Source organism: Homo sapiens, chromosome 17 (assembly GCF_000001405.40).
Source record: "Homo sapiens chromosome 17, GRCh38.p14 Primary Assembly".
In the NCBI taxonomy this organism is placed as follows: Eukaryota; Metazoa; Chordata; class Mammalia; order Primates; family Hominidae; genus Homo; species Homo sapiens.
Genome location: NC_000017.11, coordinates 4,383,749 through 4,406,196, shown reverse-complemented (window position 1 = coordinate 4,406,196; position 22,448 = coordinate 4,383,749). Strand labels below are relative to the sequence as shown.

Sequence of the window (22,448 nt, the reverse complement as noted above, 5' to 3'; positions counted from 1 at the left end):
CTCAGCTTTTCTGAATTCCTTCCCTAATTCTGTCCCCATAAGCATGAGAACTTCTTCCAGCCTGGGTCCCACTAGTGGTCCTAGACAAACCCAGAAACCAGCTCCTGGGATGTGGTCTGGGCCTGGTCAAGGTTAATGGGATACAAGCTAATTATTGGGTGAGTGGGAATCATGGTCAAGGAGGGAGCCAAAGCCAGGGGCAGGCTATCAGTAGGAGTCAGGCCAGGCGCTGGGCAGGGAGTACAGAAGGTGAAGCCAGTGGTTCAGGAAGGGACACGGGAGACCAATGGAAGGGTCCTCCACCCCGCTGCCTGCAGGCATGGTCACTGCACAGAGGCTGTGGGAGGCCATGGCGTGGTCTGGCCCAAGTAGATGGACATGCATCTACATAACCCCAGTGTCCACCGACAACCAGCTGACCCCATCACTCAAAAAGAATGGCATTGATTTTCTTGACCCCAAATGCCTCTGCTGGTGGGCAGAGCCCCAGGGAGACACTGAGTTCCCAGGAAGGGAACTGAAGCCAGTGTAGCTCCTGGGATTCCCAACTGCAACCCAACCTCTCCACCCACCTTGTCTCCTGGATTCCCTCCCCTCTCCTCCCCTCTCTTTTCTCTCCCCCAATCTCCCTGCACAGCTCACTACACCCATCGCTGGGCTGGTCAAAGTTCTCCCAGGGGATCTGTTTGCAGCTAGACATATGTGTACCTGTGAGTGATCATGCATGCCCGTGGTGCACACACATCCTCTTGTGTGCTGTATGTGCCTATACACACCCATGTGTGCCTGTACATGCGTGCAGACACCCATGTATGCGCAGATGGGCACGTACACAGTGTATATATGCACTGTGTGAGCCTGTGCGTGTAAGCTCCCCTGTCCCAACTCCCCAAGCCCAGATTAGCTGCCTCTACTGGGCTGACCTTGTCCTGACAGCCCCTTGGGACTGGGGGAGCTGCAGAGCCCTCCTTGCCCTCACCAAGAAACCAGGAGGCCCAGAGCATCCCCACCTTCCTGGAGAAGGTAAGAGGGAGGAACAGGCTGAGCAAAGGTGAGAGAGGAACATGTGGCTCCTCCGGGGAGTGAGTGAGGGCAGAAGAAGGATGTCTGGGGGAAAACATGTTTAAAGAGAAAAACAGTGAGTTAGGTTTAAGAGATGTTTTACATATATATATATAAATATATAAATGTTTATATATAAAAATATACAAATGTTTATATATAGAAATACACAAATGTTTATATATAGAAATATATAAATGTTTATATATAGAAATATATAAATGTTTATATATAGAAATATATAAATGTTTATATATAGAAATATATAAATGTTTATATATATAAACATTTATAAATAAATATAAACATTTATATATATAAATATATAAATATATAAAAATAAATATATAAATATATATAAATATATACATATATACATATATAAATATATACAAATATATATGAATATATATAAATATATACAAATATATATATAAATATATATAAATGTATATATAAATATATATATATATATGTATTTTTTTTTTTTGGAGACATTATTTAGCTCTTGTCGCCCAGGCTGGAGTGCAATGGCACAATCCCGGCTCACTGCAACCCCCACCTCCCAAGTTCAAGCAATTCTCCCGCCTCAGCCTCCCAAGTAGCTGGAACTACAGGCACGTGCCACCACGCCTGGCTAATTTTTGTATTTTTAGTAAAGACAGGATTTCACCGCATTGGCCAGGCTAGTCTCGAACTCCTGACCTCAGATAATCTGCCTGCCTCGGCCTCCTAAAGTGCTGGGATTACAGGCGTGAGCCACCGTACCCGGCCAAGAGATGTTATATTTGGAGGGCTCTTGGGACATCTATGTAGGGAGAAACCTGGAGCAAACTGAGATCTTGGAGCCTTGAAACCCAGGGCAGAGGGGAACTGACCCCAGACCCCAGCTTCAGGAGTGGACACAGAACCAGGGCCTCCCCAGCGTCTGAGACTTAGATTTAGTGTGGGTTTCCCCAAAGTAGACCCTGAAACAAGGACTTGGTTGTGGATAGTTTATTTGGGAGGTAATCCAAGGAAACACAAGTAAGGCAGTGGGGAAACTGAGGCAGGGAAGAAAAGCCGATGAAGCCTGGGCAATTGGTATTTAATCTTACTCTGACCCCTCTGAGGAGTTAAGACTTGAGGGGTTCGCCCCAGAAGAGGAGAAGCCGGTCCGACCAGTAAGAGAACTGCAGAAACAGCTGGGTGCAATGGCTCATGCCTGTAATCCCAGCACTTTGGGAGGCCGAGGCGGGCGGATCACGAGGTTAGGAGATCGAGACCATCCTGGCTAACACAGTGAAACTCCGTCACTACTAAAAAAGTACAAGCCAGGCGCGGTGGTTCATGCCTGTAATCCCAACACTTTGGGAGGCCGAGGCGGGTGCATCACAAGGTCAGGAGTTCGAGACCATCCTGGCCAACATGGTGAAACCCCGTCTCTATTAAAAGTATAAAAATTAGCTGGGCGTGGTGGCAGGTGCCTGTAGTCCCAGCTACTCAGGAAGCTGAGGCAGGAGAATCGCTTGAACCCAGGAGGCGGAGCTTGCAGTGAGCCGAGATCACCCCACTGTACTCCAGCCTGGGCGACAGAGCGAGACGCCGTCTCAAGAAAAATAAATAAATAAAAAATAAAGTACAAAAAATTAGCCGGGCGTGTTGGCGGCCGCCTGTAGTGCCAGCTACTCAGGAGGCTGAGGCGAGAAGGGTGTGAACCCACAAGGTGGAGCTTGCAGTGAACCGAGATCGCGCCACTGCACTCCAGCCTGGGCGACAGAGTGACACTCCGTCTCAAAAAACAAAACAAAAAAAACAAACAACCAAAAAAAAGAGGAGCTCTCCTGAGGACTTAACGCTCTTCACAGGGTCCACGAAAATCTGGAAAAGTACATGGGATCCTAAGAGCAGGAGGCAGGACAGGGAGATTAGGATTCTGGGGAGCTGTGTCCCTCTATCCCAACTGCCCTGACAGCCCCAATTTTGATGACCTGGTTGTGGCCAGAGGAGGAGGCCTCACCACTACCAGTGCTGCAGGAACTTGGGCCTCTGGGCACTAAGCCCGTGCTAATGAGCTGGTTCTTTTTTTTTTCTAATGGCACGATCTCGGCTCACTGCAACCTCCACCTCCCGGTTTCAAGTGATTCTCCTGCCTCAGCCTCCTGAGAAGCTGTGATTACAGGCGCCCACCACCACGCCCAGCTAATTTTTGTATTTTTAGTAGAGACGAAGTTTCACCATGTTGGTTAGGCTGGTCTCGAGCTCCTGACCTCTGGTGATCCACCCACCTCAGCCTCCCAAAGTGCTGGGATTCCAGGTGCGAGCCACCACGCCCAGCTCAGTGAATTTTTCTGTATATATATGCACCTGTGTGTACTAGTTTCCTGCGGTTGATATAACAAACTATCCCAAACTTGGTGTCTTAAAACAACATAAACATGGCCGGGCACAGTGGCTCACGCCTTTCATCCCAGCACTTTGGGAGGCCGAGGCCGGCGGATCACCTGAGGATGGGAGTTCGAAATCAGCCTAACCAACATGGAGAAACCCCGTCTCTACTAAAAATACAAAATTAGCCGGGCATGGTAGCTATGGAGGCTGAGGCAGGAGAATCGCTTGGTGAGCTGAGATCGCGCCATTGCACTCCAGCCTGGGCAACAAGAGTGAAACTTGGTCTCAAAAAAAGAAAAAAACAACCAAAACCATAAACGTATTCTCTCGAATGTTTTCTCTCCTGGGGGGCAGAAGTCTGAAGTTGGTATCGCAGGACTGAAATGGAGGTGTCAGCAGGGTCATGCTGTCTTCAAGGCTCTGGGAGAGTCCCTTCCTTGCCTCTTCTAGCTGCTGGCTGCTGGCAGTCCTTGGCTTGTGTCTACTTCGCTCCAATCTCTCTCCATCTTCACATTACCTTCTCTCCTTCTGTCTTCTCAAATCTCCCTCTGCCTCTCTCTTATGGGACACCTGTGATTGCATTTAGATTCATCCGGGTCATCCAGGATAAGCTCTCCATCTCAAGATCCTTAGCTATCACATCTGCAAAGACCCTTTTCCCAGATAGGGTAACATTGACAGACTCTAGAGCAGTACTCCCCAAGCTTTGTGGCACCAGTTCCTGTTTTGTGGAAGACATATTTTTCCATGGATGGGTGACGGGTGATGCGGGGGATGGTTTCAGGAAGATTAAAGCACATTACATTGATTGTGTACTTTAATTGTATTATTATGACATTGTAATATATAATGAAATCATTATACTTCACCATAATGTAGAATCAGTGGGAGCCCTAAGCTTGTTTTCCTGCATCTAGATGGTCCCATCTGGGGGTGATGGGAGACAGTGACAGATCATCAGGCATTAGGTTCTCATGAGGAGCGCGCAACCTAGATCCCTTGCGTGCCCGGTTCACAATAGGGTTTGTGCTACTATGAGAATCTAATGGCCCCAGTGATGTGACAGGAGACAGAGCTCAGGCAGAAATGTGATCGATGGGGAGCAGCTGTAAATACAGATGAAGCTTCGCTTGCTGGCCCACCACTCCACCTACTGCTGTGAGGCCTGGTTCCTAACAGGCCAGGGACTGTTAGTGGTCCGCGGCCCAGGGACTGGGGACCCCTGCTCTAGAGTTTAGGACCCAATATAGTTGGAGTCCATTATTCAGCCTACTATACAGTGTAACCGCCACCCAGATCAAGATACAAAAGAATCTTTTGCTGAGCGCGGTGGCTTACACCTGTAATCCCAGCACTGTGGGATACCAAGGCGGGTGGATCGCCTGAGGTCAGGAGTTCAAGACCAGCCTGGCCAACATGGTGAAACCCCTAAAAATACAAAAAAAAAATTAGCCAGGCTTGGTGGCGGAAGCCTGTAATCTCAGCTACTTGGGAGGCTGAGGCAGGAGGATCGCTTGAATTTGGGAGACAGAGGTTGTGCTGAGCCAAGATCATGCCATTGCACTCCAGCCTGGGCAACAGAGTGAAACTCTGTCTCAAAAAAAAAACAACAGATTCTCTTTATCCCAGAAAGTCTCCTAGACCACGGGTAACTGCTCTTCTGACTTGTAACACCGTAAATGAAATTTTCGTCTTTTTGAACTTCATGTAAAGGCATCATACTACGTCTGTATTAATCATACTGTGTATATGTATTTCTCTCAAGGATATCTGTGAGATTCATCCACATTGTTACCTGATTCAGATCTTTTTAAAAATTTTTTCTTTTTTTTTTTTTTTTGAGACGGAGTCTTGCTCTGTCACCCAGGCTAGAGTGCAGTGGCAAGATCTCCACTCGCTGCAACCTCTGCCTCCCGGGTTCAAGCAATTCTCCTGCCTCAGCCTCTCGAGTAGCTGGGATTACAGGTGCCCGCCACCATGCCCAGCTAATTTTTGTATTTCTAGTAGAGACAGGGTTTCACCATCTTGGCCAGGCACATCTCAAAACTCCTGACCTTGGCCGGGCGCAGTGGCTCACGCCTGTAATTCCAGCACTTTGGGAGGCCGAGGCGAGGTCAGGAGATCGAGACCATCCTATCCTGGCTAACACGGTGAAACTCCGTCTCTACTAAAAATACAAAAAATTAGCCGGGCGAGGTGGCAGGCGCCTGTAGTCCCAGCTACTCGGGAGGCTGAGGCAGGAGAATGGCGTGAACCCCAGAGGGTAGAGCCTGCAGTGAGCTGAGATCGCGCCACTGCACTCCAGCCTGGGCGACAGCAAGACTCCGTCTCAAAAAACAAACAAACAAACAAAACAAAAAAAACCCTCCTGACCTTGTGATCCACCTGCCTTGGCCTCCCAAAGTACTGGGATTACAGACATGAGCCACCTCGCCCAGCCTCTTTTTTTTTTTTTTTTTTTGAGACAGAGTCTCAGTCTGTCGCCCAGCCTGGAGTGCAGTGGTGCAATGTCGGCTCACTACAACCTCCGCCTCCCAGGTTCCAGCAATTCTCCTGCCTCAGCCTCCTGAGTAGCTGAGATTATAAGTGTGTGCTCCATGCCTGGCTAATTTTTGTATTTTTATAAAGATGGGGTTTCACCATGTTGGCCAGGCTGGTCTCGAACTCCTGACCTCAGGTGATTCACCTGCCTTGGCCTCCCAAAGTGCTGAGATTACAGGTGTGAGCCACCACACCCAGCTCTAGATAGCCTTTTAGATACAAATACTGCCTTAGTCCGTTTGTGCTACTACAGTGGAATGCCTGAGACTGGATAATTTATAAGAAACAGAAATTTATTTCTCATAGTTCTGGAGGCTGGGAAGTCCAAGATTAAGGTGGTGGCATCTGGTGTGGGCCTTCTTGCTGTGTCTTCACATGGCAGAAAGCAGAAGTCAAGCAGGGACAAATGCTGTGTTCTCACATGTCAGAAGAGTGAAAGGACAGAACCCACTTCTGTGAGCCCTTTTAATGGCAGCATTTATGTATTCATGAGGGCAGAGCTCTCATGACCTAAACACCTCCCACTAGGCCCTACCTCCCAACACTGTTGCATTGAGGATTAAGTTTCCAATTCACCAGGTGTGGTGGCTCATGCCTGTAATCCCAACACTTTGGGAGGCCGAGGTGGGCAGATCACATGAGGTCAGGAGTTCAAGACCAGCCTAGCCAACATGGTGAAACCCTGTCTGTACTAAAAATACAAAAATTAGCCAGGCATGGTGGCAGGCACCTATAATCCCAGCTACTTGGGAGGCTGAGACAGGAGAATCTCTTGAACCCGGGAGGCAGAGGTTGCAGTGAGCCAAGATCACACCATTGCACTCTAGCCTGGATGACAAGAGTAAAACTCCATCTCAAAAACAAAAACAAAAAAGTTTCCAATTCATGAATTTTGGGGAACACACTCAGACCATAGCAAATATACTACAATTTATTTATCAATTATCCTATTTCCAGTTTAGAGCTATTAAACAAAACTGCTGCAAACAGGCTGGGCACAGTGGCTCACGCCTGTAGTCCCAGCACTTTGGGAGGCCGAATTGGGTGGATCACTTGTGGTCAGGAGTTCGAGACAGGCCTGACCAACATGGTGAAACCCTGTCTCTACTAAAAATAAAAAAAAAATTAGCCGAGCATGGTGATGCACGTCTGTAATCCCAGCTACTCGGGAGGGCTGAGGCAGGAGAATCACTTGAACCCGGGAGGTGGAGGTTGCAGTAAGCTGAGATTGCACCATTGCACTCCAGCCTGGGCAATAAGAGCAAAAACTATGTCACAAAAACAAACAAACAAACAAAAAACTCTGGTCTTTGCACAGCCAGCTTTGCGTGAATTACTCTTTCTCCGTTGCAATTCCCCTGTCTTGATGAATCGGCTGTCTAGGCAGCGGGCAAGGTGATCCCCTTGGGCAGTTATACAACCAGCTTTCCATTTTGCAAACAGTCTAATGATCTTTACTTAGATTTTAAAAATCCTGTTTGACAATGATTATCTAATATATTTTTTTCATATCAAATGTTTCTATCCAGTGGGAATCTCTGAACTGGATTTTTCCAACATTATCTCCCTTTGCAGCAAATTTGAAATAAAAAATTTTAATCTGTGGTCATATAAGTACATCTTCTCACGTCCTCTCTTCCCACCACCTCTGACACATACCTACACTTTGATGATTATTATTATTATTTTATTTATTTATTTTGAGATGGAGTGTCTGCTCTTGTTGCCCAGGCTGGAGTGCAGTGATGCAATCTTGGCTCACTGCAACCTTCACCTCTCCGGTTCAAGCGATTTTCCTGCCTCAGCCTCCCGAGTAGCTGGGATTACAGGCACCAGCCACCATACCCAGCTAATTTTTGTATTTTAGTAGAGATGGGGTTTCACCATGTGGGCCAGGCTGGTCTTGAACTCCTGACCTCAAGTGATCCACCCGCCTCAGCCTCCCAAAGTGCTGGGATTACAGGCGTGAGCCACCTGCCCATCCAGAACTACAATTTTAGAGAGAGCCACTCACAAGAGAAAATTGGGCAAGGAAAAAAAACTAAAATTTTCAATGAAGAAACTAGAGGGTAGGGGTGGGGAGGCATATCCACAGCCTCATCTTTTTTTTAAATATTTCTGAAAGATCCCCCAAGGTTCCTTTAACAGTTTCCTGGCACTCCTTAAACCCTGATGGCCTAAGGCCGGGTGTGGTGGCTCATGCCTGTAAGCACACCTTGGGAGGCCGAGGTGGCAGATGACCTGAGGTCAGAAGTTCGAGACCATCCTGACCAATATGGTGAAACCCCGTCTCTACTAAAAATAAAAAATTAGCTGGGTGTGGTGGCAGGTGTCTGTAATCCCAGCTACTCAAGAGGCTGAGGCAGGAGAATCGCTTGAACCCGGGAGGTGGAGGTTGCAGTGAGGTGAGATCGTGCCACTGCACTCCAGCCTGGGAGACAGAGTGAAACCCTGTCTCAAAAAAAAAAAAAAAAAGAAAGAAAAAGAAAAAGGAAGAAAAGAAAAGAAAAATGGCTGGGCACGGTGGCTCACGCCTGTAATCCCAGCACTTTGGGAGGCCGAGGCGGGCGGATCACAAGATCAGGAGTTCGAGACCATCCTGGCTAACACGGTGAAACCCCATCTCTACTAAAAACACACACACACAAAAAAAATTAGCCGGGCATGGTGGCACGCACCTGTAGTCCCAGCTACTCAGGAGGCTGAGGCAAGAGAATCGCTTGAACCCGGGAAGTGGAGGTTGCAGTGAGCCAAGATCACGCCATTGCACTCCAGCCTGGGCAACAGAGCGAGACTCTGTCTCAAAAAACAAAAACAAAACCTGGTGGCCTAAAGGGCACCCCACCTCCTCCCGCCCCCTGCCCCACATGGCACGTAAAAAGGGGAAGAAAAACTCAAAAGCCCAAGTAGTCAGCAGTCTCTGCCAATGGCAGATCAAAACAGCAGTAAAAGATCTGCAACCAAACGAGATTTGATTTACATAAGTCTCATTTTGATCATATTTTCTCCAGCGTCTTACCCCACCCTGGACTCCCCCGGCAGGTGTCCCAAGCCCCTCCCCTCCAGTTTACTCCTAACCCATCTTGAGGGCCTGGGCTCCCAGTTCCCTCCCTCAAAGGATCCGTCGTCTTTCAGACCCTCCCTGAGAGCAGAGACTGGTTTACACCGCCTGGAATCCAGTCCAGCAGGTGGTGTCAGGAACTGTAACCGATGGCATGTTCGCCAACACTGGGGTCCTGCAGGCAGAGCTGGAACTGGCCACTGGGACCCAAGCCCTCTGTGCGCTGCCCAGACCCACGCTCAGAGCCTGTGACTTCAGGACCCTCATCTAGAAGCTCCTGGAAGTTGGCCCAGAAGGATCTGCCCAGCACCCACCCACCCACCCCAGCCATGTCCAGTGGGAGCACAGGAAACGTCCCAGGGTCTGCAGAGGGATCCTACAGACCATTCTCTCTCCCATCTGCCTTCTTTTTTTGTTTGTTTGTTTTGTTTTGTTTTTTGAGACGGAGTCTCGCTCTTGTTGCCCAGGCTGGAGTGCAGTGGCGCGATCTCAGCTCACTGCAACCTCCGCCTCCCGGATTGCAGCGATTCTCCTGCCTCAGCTCCCGAGTAGCTGAGATTACAGGCATGTGCCACCACACCCGGCTAATTTTTTGTACTTTTAGTAGAGATGGGGTTTCACCATGTTGGCCAGGCTGAGCTCCTAACCTCAGGTGATCCACTTGCCTCGGCCTCCCAAAGTGCTGGGATTACAGGCGTGAACCACCGCCCCGGCCTCCTTGTGCCTTCTTTGTCATTGTAATTAACTGCTGGGGATACCTTTTGTTAACGGTAGAAAGTTATGCAAATGACCGAAACTGGTATTGTTATTACTAAGAGGCGCTGGGTTTCAAAATCACTTTGAATATTCTAGCACCGAATCTTGTCTGTCCTGTGCCTGGGGGCCTGCACACACTGTCTTTTTCCTCCTTTGTGAACGGCAGGGTTGAGGCCTTCCTGTTCGAGAAGTGGGTGGTTTGCCAAGCTACCTGGGGTGTACATAGAACTTGAACTTTGGAGTCAGACTGGCAAAGGCTGGCTGCTTCCCCTGCGCCTTGGTTACCGTTTGTCCTTACACAAGTCACTTGGCTTCTTGGAGTCTCAGTTTTGTCATCTGTGGAAGAGGAGTGAACACCCTCCTTAGAGACAGCTGCCACGGTGACCATCTGCGAGCTGATGGAGGTAGAGTTCCTGGTGCCCTTTAGGGTGGCAGTTGTGTCGGTACTCCCGAGGACCAGGACCAGGTGGCCGTGGCTGTCTGGAACTGCTACGGAAGAACGGGCAAGGCTGCCAGATTTCGCAAATAAAAATACATGCACACGGTTAAATTTGAATTTCAAATAAGCAGCTAAATTTTGTTGTATAATTATATCCCATGCAGTATTTGGAATATACTTATACTGAAAAATTAGTCGGGCGTGATGGCTCACGCCTGTAATCCCAGCACTTTGGGAGCCCAAGGCGGGCAGATCACCTGAGGCCAGGAGTTCGAGACCAGCCTGGCAAACATGGCAAAATCCTATCTCTACTAAAAATACCAAAATTGACCGGTGTGGTGCTGCACATCTGTACTGCCACCTACTTGGGAGGCTGAGGAACGAGAATTGCTTGAACCCGGGAGGCAGAGGTTGCAGTGAGCCTCAATCGTGCCACTGCACTCCAGCCTGGGCAACAGAGCGAGACTCTGTTTCTAATAACAATAATAATAATAATAATTCCTTATCTGAAATTAAATTTAACTAAGTGTCCTTTTTCTCTTTCTTTCTTTTTTTCTTTTTGAGACAGGGTTTTACCCTGTCACCCAGGCTAGAGTGCAGTGGTGTAATCATGGTTCACTGCAGCCTCGACCTCCTGGGGTCAGGTGATCCTCCCACCTCAGCCTCCCAAGTAGGTAGGACTACAGGTGCAAGCCACCATTCCCAGCTACTTGTTGCTTTTTTAAAAATTTTTGGTACAGATGGGGTTTCGCCGTGTTGTCCAGGCTGGTAACTGAGTGTTACTGTATTTTATCTGGCTATCCTAAGAAAAGAGGTTAAAGTGCTTAGAATGGGGGTTCTTGCTGCCCCTGAGAGATATCTTCATTTGGGATTGGCAACTGTGGGAGAGAGAGGGCAAGAGCCACTGGAATAAACATGGGCCAGGGAGGCTGAGGCAGGAGAATCCTTTGAACCTGAGAGGCGGAGGTTACAGTGAGCTGAGATTGCGCTACTGCACTCCAGCCTGGGTGTCAGTGTGAGACTCTGTCTCAAAGAAAGAAAGAAAGAAAGAAAGAGAAAGAGAGAGAGAGAGAGACAGAGAGAGAGAAAGAAAGAAAAAAGGAAGGAAGGAAGGAAGGCAGGAAGGAAGGAAGGAAGGAAGGAAGGAAGGAAGGAAGGAAGGAAGGAAGGAAGGAAAGAAGGAAGGAAGGAAGGAAGATGGGCCAAAGGAGGAGAAGGATCTAGAATACCAAGGCCTGGAGAGGGCAATGACCTCCTGGCCTGGTTCACTACCTGCTGATCTCAAGCCAGCAGCAAACACACTCTGGAAGCCTGGATGGGGGCTAGGCTTAGCTGGACCCAGCTCTCCAGCCTCCAGCCTACATACTACCCCCTCCATCAGTCAGGAGCCCGCTCCCCAACCCATCCATCCCTGAGCCAAGAGACAGCATGGAAGGAGCTACACCAAGGTGGGAAACCTGGAGCAAAGCTAGCTCTGTGTTAATTAGCCTCCAAGGAACCAGATTACAGGAAGCCAGGAGCAGGACACACCCCAGAGGTAGTTTAACTTGCTGTGGCCAGACTGGCCACATTCACATCCTGGGTTGGACATGTGACTACCCCATTCCTTTAGCCTCTGGGAGGACATTCATCTAACAAACATTTCTTCATGTCCTTTGTCCATCCCACAAACAACCTCCAACTCACCCACCATCCAACTCTCCCTGCTCCCGGGGGTCACCTGTCTGCTTCTCTCCCTCGGTTCTATCTCACCCCATTGTCCCCAGTGGGGCCACCTCTGAGGATCTCTGGGTCCATCCGGCTGCTCGGCTCACTCATTTTCACTCTCCCCACCTGCTGCAGCCTCCTCCCCACTCCCCATCGGTTCCAGCTCAGTTCCAATAAAAGCAGGTCTCATCTTGCCATTCCCCTGCTGCAAATCTGCCCGTTTTGCATTGGAGGGTAAGTCCCAGCCCTCAGGGAGAGAAAAGCAGGACAAACCAGGATGTCTGAGTAAAACATGCCTCTTCCAGTCTCCCCAGATAAATGTTACTCATCCCAGGTGAGGGGCTGCAGGAGACAGCTCCTGGGAGGGCCGAGGGTCCCGGCTGCCAAGCCATCTTATCTGCAAGGTGGGGAGTAGAGACACAGTGCCTCAGCCTGGGGCCAGGGCCGAAGCCCACTCCACTTACAGACGGGCCTCTGGGTTTCTATTGCAGAGGCTCAATCTTTTTTTTGGAGTTGGGGGACAGCGTTTCACTCTTGTTGCCCAGGCTAAAGTGCAGTGACTTGATCTCAGCTCACTGCAACCTTCACCTCCCCAGTTCAAGCGATTCTCCTGCCTCAGCCTCCTGAGTAGCTGGGATTATAGGCGTGTACCATCACGGCTGGCTAATTTTGTATTTTTAGTAGAGATGGGGTTTCACCGTGTTGGTCAGGCTGGTTTCAAACCCCTGAAGTCAGGTGATGCACCTGCCTCGGCCTTCCAAAGTGCTGGGATTACAGGTGTGAGCCACTGCACCTGGCCAATCTTATTCATAATATGAAAAATGTATATTAAGGGGGAGGGGGATGTTTTATTTATTATTATTATTATTATTATTTGAGACAGAGTTTTGCCTTTGTTGCCCAGGCTGGAGTGCAATGCAATGGTGCGATCTTGGCTCACCGCAGCCTCCACCTCCCAGGTTCTTCAAGCGATTCTCCTGCCTCAGCCTCCCGAGTAGCTGGTATAGGAATGCGCCACCATGCCTGGCTAATTTTGTATTTTTAGTAGAGACAGGGTTTCTCCATATCGGTCAGACTGGTCTCAAATTCCGGACCTCAGGTGATCTGCCCGCCTTGGCCTCCCAAAGTGCTAGGATTACAGGTGTCAGCCACTGTGCCCGGCCTCTTATTTATTTATTTATTTATTTATTTATTTTGAGACGGAGTCTTGCTCTGTAGCCCAGCCTGGAGTGCAGTGGCATGATCTCAGCTCACTGCAACCTCCGCCTCCCGGGTTCAAGCAATTTTTGCCTCAGCCTCCCAGTAGCTGGGATTACAGGCGCCCACCACCATGCCCGGCTAATTTTTGTATTTTTAGCAGAGATGGGGTTTCACCATCTTGGCCAGGCTGGTCTTGAAGTCCTGACCTCATGATCCACCCTCCTAATTTTTGTATTTTTAGTAGAGATGGGGTTTCACCAACTTGCCCAGGCTCGTCTTGAACTCCTGACCTCAGGTGATCCGCCCGCCTCAGCCTCCTGAAGTTCTGGGATTACAGGGGTGAGCCACTGCTCCCACCTGGGGGATGTTTTAAAAATGTACATTAAAACTATGAGAAAGAACATTCCACTTATCAGATTGGCAAAACAAACAAAACAAAATCACTCAAGTGGGTGAAGGTGTCTGTTCTTTGCTTTTTGTTTGTTTGTTTGTTTGCTTGAGACAGGTCTCCTTCTGTCACCCAGGCTGGAGTGCAGTGGCACGATCATGGCTCACTGTAGCCTGAACTTCCTGTGCTCCAGAGATCCTCCTACCTCAGCCTCCCAGGTAGCTGGGTAGCAGGGACCACAGGCGCGTGCCCGCCACACCCAGCTAATTTTTATATTTTTTGTAGAGATGTGGTTTTGCCATGTTGTCCAGGCTGGGGATGAAGGTGTCTGAAACAGGCACTGCCACACCTTGTTTGTTGGTGGGAAAGTTAACTGGTACAACCCCTTTATGGGGCAAACTGGTAATATCTATCAAAAAATGAAATACACAAACTCTTTGTTCCAGTAATCCCACTTTCAGAAATTTACACTACAGGTACACAGGTAACCCAAGATATATATAATATGCACCAGGACAGTCATTGCAGCATTGTTTTCTTTCTTTTTTTTCTCTCTTTTTGAGACGGAGTTTCACTTTTGTTGCCCAGGCTGGAGTGCAATGGCGCGATCTCAGCTCACTGCAACCCCTGCCTCCCGGGTTCAAGCGATTCTCCTGCCTCAGCCTCCCAAGTAGCTGGGATTACAGGCATGCACCACCACGCCTGGCTAATATTTTTCTGTATTTTTAGTAGAGACAGGGTTTCTCCATGTTGGTCAGGCTGGTCTCGAACTCCTGACCTCAGGTGATCTGTCCACCTCAGCCTCCCTAAGTGCTGGGATTACAGGCGTGAGCCACCGCTCCCGGCTGCAGCATTGTATTTTTTTGAGACAGAGTCTTGCTGTGTCACCCAGGCTGGAGTGCAGTGGCGCGATCTCTGCTCACTGCAAGCTCCGCCTCCCGGGTTCATGCCATTCTCCTGCAGCATTGTTTTCATAGCTAAAGTTTGGAACTACATGGCAGCTGGTTAAATAAATTATGCTACAACCATCCAATTAAATATTATGTACTAATACAAAGAATGAGGCAACTAGGTACTAAAATTAAGTCATCTTAGTTAAGATATATGCAAAAGTAAAGTGCCAAACAGTAAATATAGCATGTAAATTTGGTGATTTAAAAACACGTAGGGGGCCAGGCATGGTGGTTCATGCCTGTAGTCCCAGCAGATCATGAGGTCAGGAGTTCGAGACCAGCCTGGCCAATATGGTGAAACCTCGTCTGTACTAAAAATACAAAAATATTAACCGGGCATTGTGGCATGCAACTGCAGTCTCAGCTACTCAGGAGGCTGAGGCAGAAGAATCACTTGTACCCAGGAGGCGGAGGTTGCAGTGAGCCATCATGCTTCTGCACTCCAGCTTGGGCAACAGAGTAAGACTCCGTCTTAAACAAACAAACAAACAAACAAACAGAAAAAGCATGTGACTGGGCACGGTGGCTCACACCTGTAATCCCACCGCTTTGGGAGGCAAAAGTGGGTGGATTGCTTGGGCTTAGGAGTTTGAGACCAGCCTGGGCAACATGGTGAAACCCTGTCTCTGAAAAAAAAAAAAAAAAAAAAATTAGCCAGGTGTGATGGTGTGCACCTGTAGTCCCAGCCACTTGGGAGGCTGAGGTGGAGCATCGCTTGAGCTCAGGAGGTGGAGGTTGCAGTGAGCCAAGACTCCAACCTGGGTAATAGAGCAAGATTCTGTCTCAAAAAAAAAAAAAAATTTATAGGCTGGGCGTGGTGGCTTATGCCTGTAAATCTAGCACTTTGGGAGGCTGAGGCGGGTGGATCACGAGATCAAGAGATGGAGACCATCCTGGCCAACATGGTGAAACCCTGTCTCTACTAAAAATACAAAAATTAGCTGGGCATGGTGACGGGCGCCTGTAGTCCCAGCTACTCGGGAGGCTGAGGCAGGAGAATCACCTGAACCCAGGAGGCAGAGGTTGCAGTGAGCCGAGATCGAGCCACTGCACTCCAGCCTAGTGACAGAGCGAGACTCTGTCTCAAAAAAAAAAAAAAATTTTATATATATACACACACACACACACACACACGTAAATGTTACATATGTATTAAATGTCTCTAGAAAGATAAATAAGAAAGAGGTAACAACAGTGGGTGTCCTAGGGTGAAGCACTGTGAGACCAGGGATAGCAGTGGGAGGGAGACTGAATTTTTGGTGCCTTTTGACTTTTATGCATATATTTCATATGTATACATGAAATATGTATTTCATATTTTATATGTAAAAAGTATATATGCATATGTAAATAATTTCAAAAGCAAGCAACTTTTCTCCCGCAGTGTTCCACTAGAGAAGATGATAAACATATTAAATAGCTGCATGGCCCTGGGCCAGGTCCTCCCTCTCCCTGGACCTCAGTTTCTCGTTTAGACAATGGGAGTTTTGGATCAGGAGACTATTCCTACACTCTTCCTAAATCTTACTTCTAATCAGCCAAATGAATACTGGTGCAGTGACCATAAGATAACATTTGGCTGGGCGCAGTGGCTCACACCTGTAATCCCAGCACTTTGGGAGGCTGAGGCGGGCAGATCACCTGAGGTCAGGAGTTTGAGACCAGCCTGGCCAACATGGTGAAACCCCGTCTCTACTAAAAATACAAAAATTATTCGGGTATGGTGGCACGCTTGTAATCCCAGTGCCACTCAAGAGGCTGAGGCAGGAGAATCACTTGAACTCAGGAGGTGGAGGTTGCAGTGAGCCGAGATTGCGCCACTGCACTCTAGCCTAGGCGACACATCCAGACTCCACCTGCAAAAAAAAAAAAAAAAAAAAGCCGGGTGCGGTGGCTCACACCTGTAATCCTAGCACTTTGGGAGGCCGAGGCAGGCAGATTGCCTGAGCTCAGGAGTTCAGACCAGGCTGGGCAACACGGTGAAACCCCGTTTCCACTAAAATAAAAAAAACTAGCTGGGCGTGGCAGTGTGCGCCTGTAATCCCAGCTACTTGGGAGGCTGAGGCAGAATTGTTGAACCCGGGAGGCAGAGGTTGCAGTGAGCAGAGATTGAGCCACGGCACTCCAGCCTGGCAACAGAGCAAGATTCCATCTAAAAAAAAAAAAAAGAAAATATTTGATGGCATGCAGGGGGGATAATATAAAATGACATTGTTGAAACCAGGATGCAGTGCCCATCACCCGAGGGACAGGGTCATTTCTCTGGCACCGAGCAGGAGCCCATAGGCAAAGCTGCATCTGCCTGGGCTGGTGGATCCTGACGGGGCCCTGCTAGCTTCTGTGGAGGGTCGGCTCCCCAGGCCTTGGCAGCTTCTCCTGCCTCTGCCCACTGAGGCCCTAGTCTGGCCCAGGGGCGGAGCTGAAGCCTGGCCTATCCCTGGCTTCCTCCTTACTCTATCAGGCTCTGCATAGTTTACCTGTCTGCCTGGACTCTCCTCCCCGCCTTCTTTTGCCCATTCAAAGGAGGTAGCTCTTGCCTCATGCTAAAGCTGGGATCCTACCCAGCTCCTTTCCTGAGCCAGGTCTATGCAGGTGGCTGGGAGACCCGAGATGCCCGGCCACAGCAATCTGAGGCCTCAGAGTACACACAAGACCCAGCCTCAGCAGGAAGCCACCTTGTTCCAAAGTACTGGGTCTTCCTCTTAATATAGTACTGGGCCTTTCTCTTAATATTAGAAGCCAAAGGAAAAATACACGGGAATCAGAGGAGTCAAAACTGGACACATTTCCTGCTCCTCATTCCCCCTTCTTTTCGTCCTAAGTTTGGAATCAGGACTTGAGTTCCTGTCCTAAATTAGCCCTGGCTCCCTGAAGAAGTCACTCCCCTTCTTGGGGCCTCATCTGCAAGAAGAGGGGCTTGGGCCCAGACAGCTACGTATTAACAGGTGTCTCCAGGTGGTTCCAATGCAGCTCGTCAGTGACAGGCTTTTTTTTTTTTCAGATAGAGTCTCACTCTTTCGCCAGGCTGGAGTGCAGTGGCGTGATCTCAGCTCACTGCAACCTCCACCTCCAGGTTCAAGCAATTCTCCTGCCTCAGCCTCCTGAGTAGCTGGGATTACAGGCATGCGCCACCATGCCCAGCTAATTTTGTTTTTGTATTTTTAGTAGAGACGGGGTTTCACTGTGTTAGCCAGGATGGTCTCAATCTCCTGACCTTGTGATCCGCCCGCCTCAGCCTCCCAAAGTACTGGGATTGCAGACATGAGCCACTGCGCCCAGCCTCTAGTGACAGGCTTTAAGAAGCAGCTGCGGCCCGGCACGGTGGCTCACACCTGTAATCTCTGCACTTTGGGAGACTGAGGCAGGCGGATCCCTTAAGGTCAGGAGTTCGAGACCAGCCTGGCCGACACGGTGAAACCCTGTCTCTACTAAAAATACAAAAATTAGCCGGGCATAGTGGTGGGCACCTGTAATCCCAGCTACTGTGGAGGCTGAGGCAGGAGAATTGCTTGAACCCAGGAGGCGGAGGTTGCAGTGAGCTAAGATCGTGCCATTGTGCTCCAGCCTGGGCAACAGAGAGACTCTGTCTCAAAAAAAAAAAAAAAAAAAAAGATAAAGGGCAAAAGGGCAAACCCAGTGTGTTGCAACAACTGGAATGAATCTTAAAATAATTATGCCAGCTTGGGCAACGTAGTCAGACCCCTGTCTCTACAAAACATTTCAAAATTAGCCAGGAGTGGTGGTATGTGCTGGTAGTCCCAGCTACCTGGGAGGCTAAAGCAGGAGGATTGCTTGAACCCAGGAATGTGAGGCTGCAGTGAGCCATGATTTTACCACTATACTCCAGCCTGGGAGACAGCAAGACTCTGTCTCAATAATAATAATAATAATAAATTAATTAATTAAAAATAAATAAATGGCCAGGCACAATGGCTCACGCCTGTAATCCCAGCACTTTGGGAGGCCAAGGTGGGTGGATCATGAGGTCAGGAGTTTGAGACCAGCCTGGCCAACATAGTGAAACCCCCATCTCTACTAAAAATACAAAAATTAGCCGGGTGTGATGGCGGGTGCCTGTAGTCCCAGCTACTCGGGAGGCTGAGGCAGGAGAATCGCTTGAACCCGGGAGGCAGAGGTTGCAGTGAGCCAAGATTGCACCACTGCACTCCAGCCTGGCGACAGAGCGAGACTCCATCTCAAAAAAAAATAAATAAATGAAATAAAAATAAATAAATAAGTACAATAATTATGCTGAGTGAAAGAAGACCAAAGAGAGTACATATGTTTGCTTTCATTTACAAAAAATTCTAGAAAGTGACAGAACGGGGATCAGAAAGTGGCTGGAGTGAAAGGAAAGAGAGAAAGATTACAGCAAGGCACAAAGAAACTTTTAGGTGTGATGGAGAGGTTTATTATCTTAATTGAGTGATGTTTTCGTGAGTGCTTACATATGTCAAAACTCGTAAGTTGTATGTCAATTATCAGGTCATTTTAAAAGGTGGTTATGAAGGAACACGTGTTGAGCATACCCTAAATGCAGCCAGACACTGAAGTTGCTTGTGGAAATCAACTGGATGCTTTTTTTTTTTTTTTTTTTTTTTTTTGAGATGGAGTCTTGCTCTGTTGCCCAGGCTGGAGTGCAGTGGCATGATGGCTCACTGCAACCTCTGCCTCCTGGGTTCAAGCAATTCTCCTGCCTCAGCCTCCCGAGTAGCTGGGATTACAGGCACTCGCCACCACACCCTGCTAATTTTTGTATTTTTTGGTAGGGACGAGGTTTCACCATGTGGGCCAGGCTGGTCTCAAACTCCTGACCTCAAGTGACCCACCAGCCTCGGCCTCTCAAAGTTCTGGGATTACAGGCATGAGCTGCTGCGCCTGCCCGTGGATGCTTTTAAGAACAAAGAAAAGAAAACCCAACTTGAAGTGAAACAAACAATAATAAAATGTACTATCTCATCTACCTGGAAAACCAGAGGCTACAGGTACAGTTTGACTGCTCCCCTCCTAGTACCAGACGCTATATTGAGCTACATCATGGAAGCCTCATAATTGTCACGGAACTTAGCTACAACAACAGAATCTACTCTAACTAGTTTAAGCAGCCAAGGAATGTATTTAAAGATATAAATGACTCACACAGTCTCTGAGAGGGATAGAGAATTGGGCTTGGAGGCTACTTGGCCAGGAACAATACCCAAATTTTGCTCCTGGACTGTTATCAGCACAGCCTCTGCTTTTTGCCATCAATAGCCACTGCAGCTCAAAAGTGGAAGGAGTATCTCTACTCCTGGGGCCTCCACTCCCACTGCCCTCAAAAGCTCTGTGTCAGCCAGGCACGGTGCCTCACGCCGGTAATCCCAGCACTTTGGGAGGCCGAGGCAGGTGGATCACAAGATCAGGAAATTCAGACCGTCCTGCCTAACACAGTGAAACTCCGTCTCTACTAAAAATACAAAAAATTAGCCAGGCGTGCTGGTGGGCACCTGTAGTCCCAGCTACTTGGGAGGCTGAGGTAGGAGAATCGCATGGACCCAGGAGGCGGAGGTTGCAGTGAGCCGAGATCGTGCCACTGCACTCTAGCCTGGGTGATAGAGACTCTGTCTGAAAACAAACAAAATAAACAAACAAAAAAATCTCCGTGTCTCTACAGCATTCTCATCCTCGTACAGCTCACCTCTGAATGGATATCAGCTGCATCTGATTGGATGAGCCTACACTGTATGCCTGAGTGCTAGGGAAGCTAGGTACAGGAGTCTAGCTTCTACCTTGGGGAGGCAGAACTCATCATGTCTTGACATAGAATGGGTTTTCAAAAAGATTCTGAATGGCCAGGCGCGGTGTCTCACACCTGTAATCCCAGCACTTTGGGAGGCAGAGGCGGGCTGATCACTTGAGGCCAGGAGTTTGAGACCAGCCTGGCCAATGTGGTGAAAACCCATCTCTACTAAAAATACAAAAATTAGCTGGGCGTGGTGGCACACACCTGTAATCCCAGTTACTCGGGAGGCTGAGGCAAGAGAATCCCTTGAACCCAGGAGGCGGAGGTTGCAGTGAGCCGAGATCGGACTACTGCACACCAGCCTGGGCAACAGACAGAAACTGTCTCAAAAAAAAAAAAAAAAAAAAGATGCTGGGTGATGATAATATTAAAAAGGTCCACTATAAACCCTATTAGAGACTATCCCAGCCTGGGCAACATGGAGAACTCCATCTCTACAAAAAAGACAACATTTAGCCAGGTGTGGTGGCAAGTGCCTATAGTCCCAGCTACTTGGGGGACTGAGGCTAGAGAATTGCTTGAACCCCGGGGGGTCGAGGCTGCAGTGAACTATGTTCCTGCCACAGCACTCCAGCCTGAGTAACAGAGTGAGACCCTGTCTCAAAACAAAACAGAGAAAACAAAAAAAGAAAGAAAAACTAGGAAACAAAGAAAAATCAGAATGATGTACCTCTTAATGGAAGTACCCAATACTGCATATGAAAGAGTCTAGGAACAAAATCAACCCCAAAGGTGATCAAGCTGCTAGATCCGACTACTGCTTTACACGAAATAAAGAAAATAAGAATGTTAAATGATACCATGAGGACACAATCAGTAAAACCCAGATTTTATTTGTTTTTTTCTATTTGTTTGTTTGTTTTCTGAGATGGAGTTTCACTCATTGCCCAGACTAGAGTGCAGTGGCGCCATCTCGGCTCACTGCAACCTCCGCCTCCCGGGTTCAAATGATTCTCTTGCCTCAGCCTCCCAAGTAGCTGGGATTACAGGCATCCACCACCAAGCCTGGCTAATTTTTTGTATTTTTAGTAGAGATGGGGTTTCACCATGTTAGCCAGGCTGGTCTGGAACCCCTGACCTCGGGTGATCCGCCCACCTCGGCCTCCCAAAGTGCTGGGATTACAGGAATGAGCCAGCGCACCCGGCCTTAAATCCAGATTTTAGGAAACTGTATAGGAACACATGACAAATATTCTTTAATAAATTGCAAGGAAAACAGAAAGATTTTAGAAGAGGGAACCTAGTGATTAAAGGAAACTTAAGAGACACATTAACCAACCAAAACTTATGGATCTTTTTTATTTTTTATTTTTTGAAATGGAGTTTCGCTCTTGTTGCCCAGGCTGGAGTGAAATGGCACGATCTCGGCTCACTGCAACCTCTGCCTCCTGGGTTCAAGAGATTCTCTTGCCTCAGCTTCCCAAGTAGCTGGGATTACAGGCATCCGCCACCACGCCCGGCTAATTTTGTATTTTTAGTAGAGATGGGGTTTCTCCATGTTGGTCAGGCTGGTCTCGAACTCCCGACCTCAGGTGATCCGCCCGCCTCGGCCACCCAAAGTTCTGGGATTACAGGCATGAGCCACTGCACCTGGCCTATGGATCTTTTTCAGGTCATGATTCAAACAAACTATAAATAGAATGATGATGATGATGATGAGACAGTGGGAATATTTGAACACTGAATATTTGATGATATTAAGGAATTATTTCACACCTGTAATCCTAGCACTTTGGGAGGTCAAGGCACTTGAGCCCAGGAGTTCAAGACCAACGTGAGCAACATGGTGAAGCCCTATTTCTACAAAAAATACAAAAACTAGCCGGGTGTGGTGGCATGCACCTGTCATCCCATCTGCTTGGGAGGCAGAGGTGGGCGGATCATGAAGTCAGGCGATCAAGACCATCCTGGCTACCACGGTGAAACCCCATTTCTACTAAAAATACAAAAAATTAGCCAGGCGTGGTGGTGAGCGCCTGTGGTCCCAGCTACTCAGGAGGCTCAGGCAGGAGAATGGTGTGAACCCGAGAGGCAGAGCTTGCAGTGAGCCAAGATCGGGCCACTGCTCTCCAGCCTGGGTGACAGAGCTAGACTCCATCTCAAAAAAAAAAAAAGAAAAAAGAAAAAAAAAAAATGATCTGTTGCTTAGAAATGTTAAGTTTGGCCAGGTGTGGTGGCTCACACCTGTA

General features: G+C 48.4%; 4 annotated features.

The window, feature by feature from the left end:
- Positions 8,963-9,732: an enhancer, noted in NCBI's record as "OCT4-NANOG-H3K27ac-H3K4me1 hESC enhancer chr17:4299760-4300529 (GRCh37/hg19 assembly coordinates)". NCBI's record gives its function as "activates a minimal SCP1, AML or CMV promoter by ChIP-STARR-seq in primed H9 embryonic stem cells {active_cell/tissue: H9 hESC(primed)}" and the evidence as "EXISTENCE:reporter gene assay evidence [ECO:0000049][PMID:30033119]".
- Positions 9,733-10,503: an enhancer, noted in NCBI's record as "OCT4-NANOG-H3K27ac-H3K4me1 hESC enhancer chr17:4298989-4299759 (GRCh37/hg19 assembly coordinates)". NCBI's record gives its function as "activates a minimal SCP1, AML or CMV promoter by ChIP-STARR-seq in naive and primed H9 embryonic stem cells {active_cell/tissue: H9 hESC(naive and primed)}" and the evidence as "EXISTENCE:reporter gene assay evidence [ECO:0000049][PMID:30033119]".
- Positions 10,070-10,149: an enhancer, noted in NCBI's record as "active region_11540". NCBI's record gives its function as "activates an Ori minimal core promoter by ATAC-STARR-seq in GM12878 lymphoblastoid cells {active_cell/tissue: GM12878}" and the evidence as "EXISTENCE:reporter gene assay evidence [ECO:0000049][PMID:35858748]".
- Positions 12,523-12,572: a silencer, noted in NCBI's record as "silent region_8037". NCBI's record gives its function as "represses an Ori minimal core promoter by ATAC-STARR-seq in GM12878 lymphoblastoid cells {active_cell/tissue: GM12878}" and the evidence as "EXISTENCE:reporter gene assay evidence [ECO:0000049][PMID:35858748]".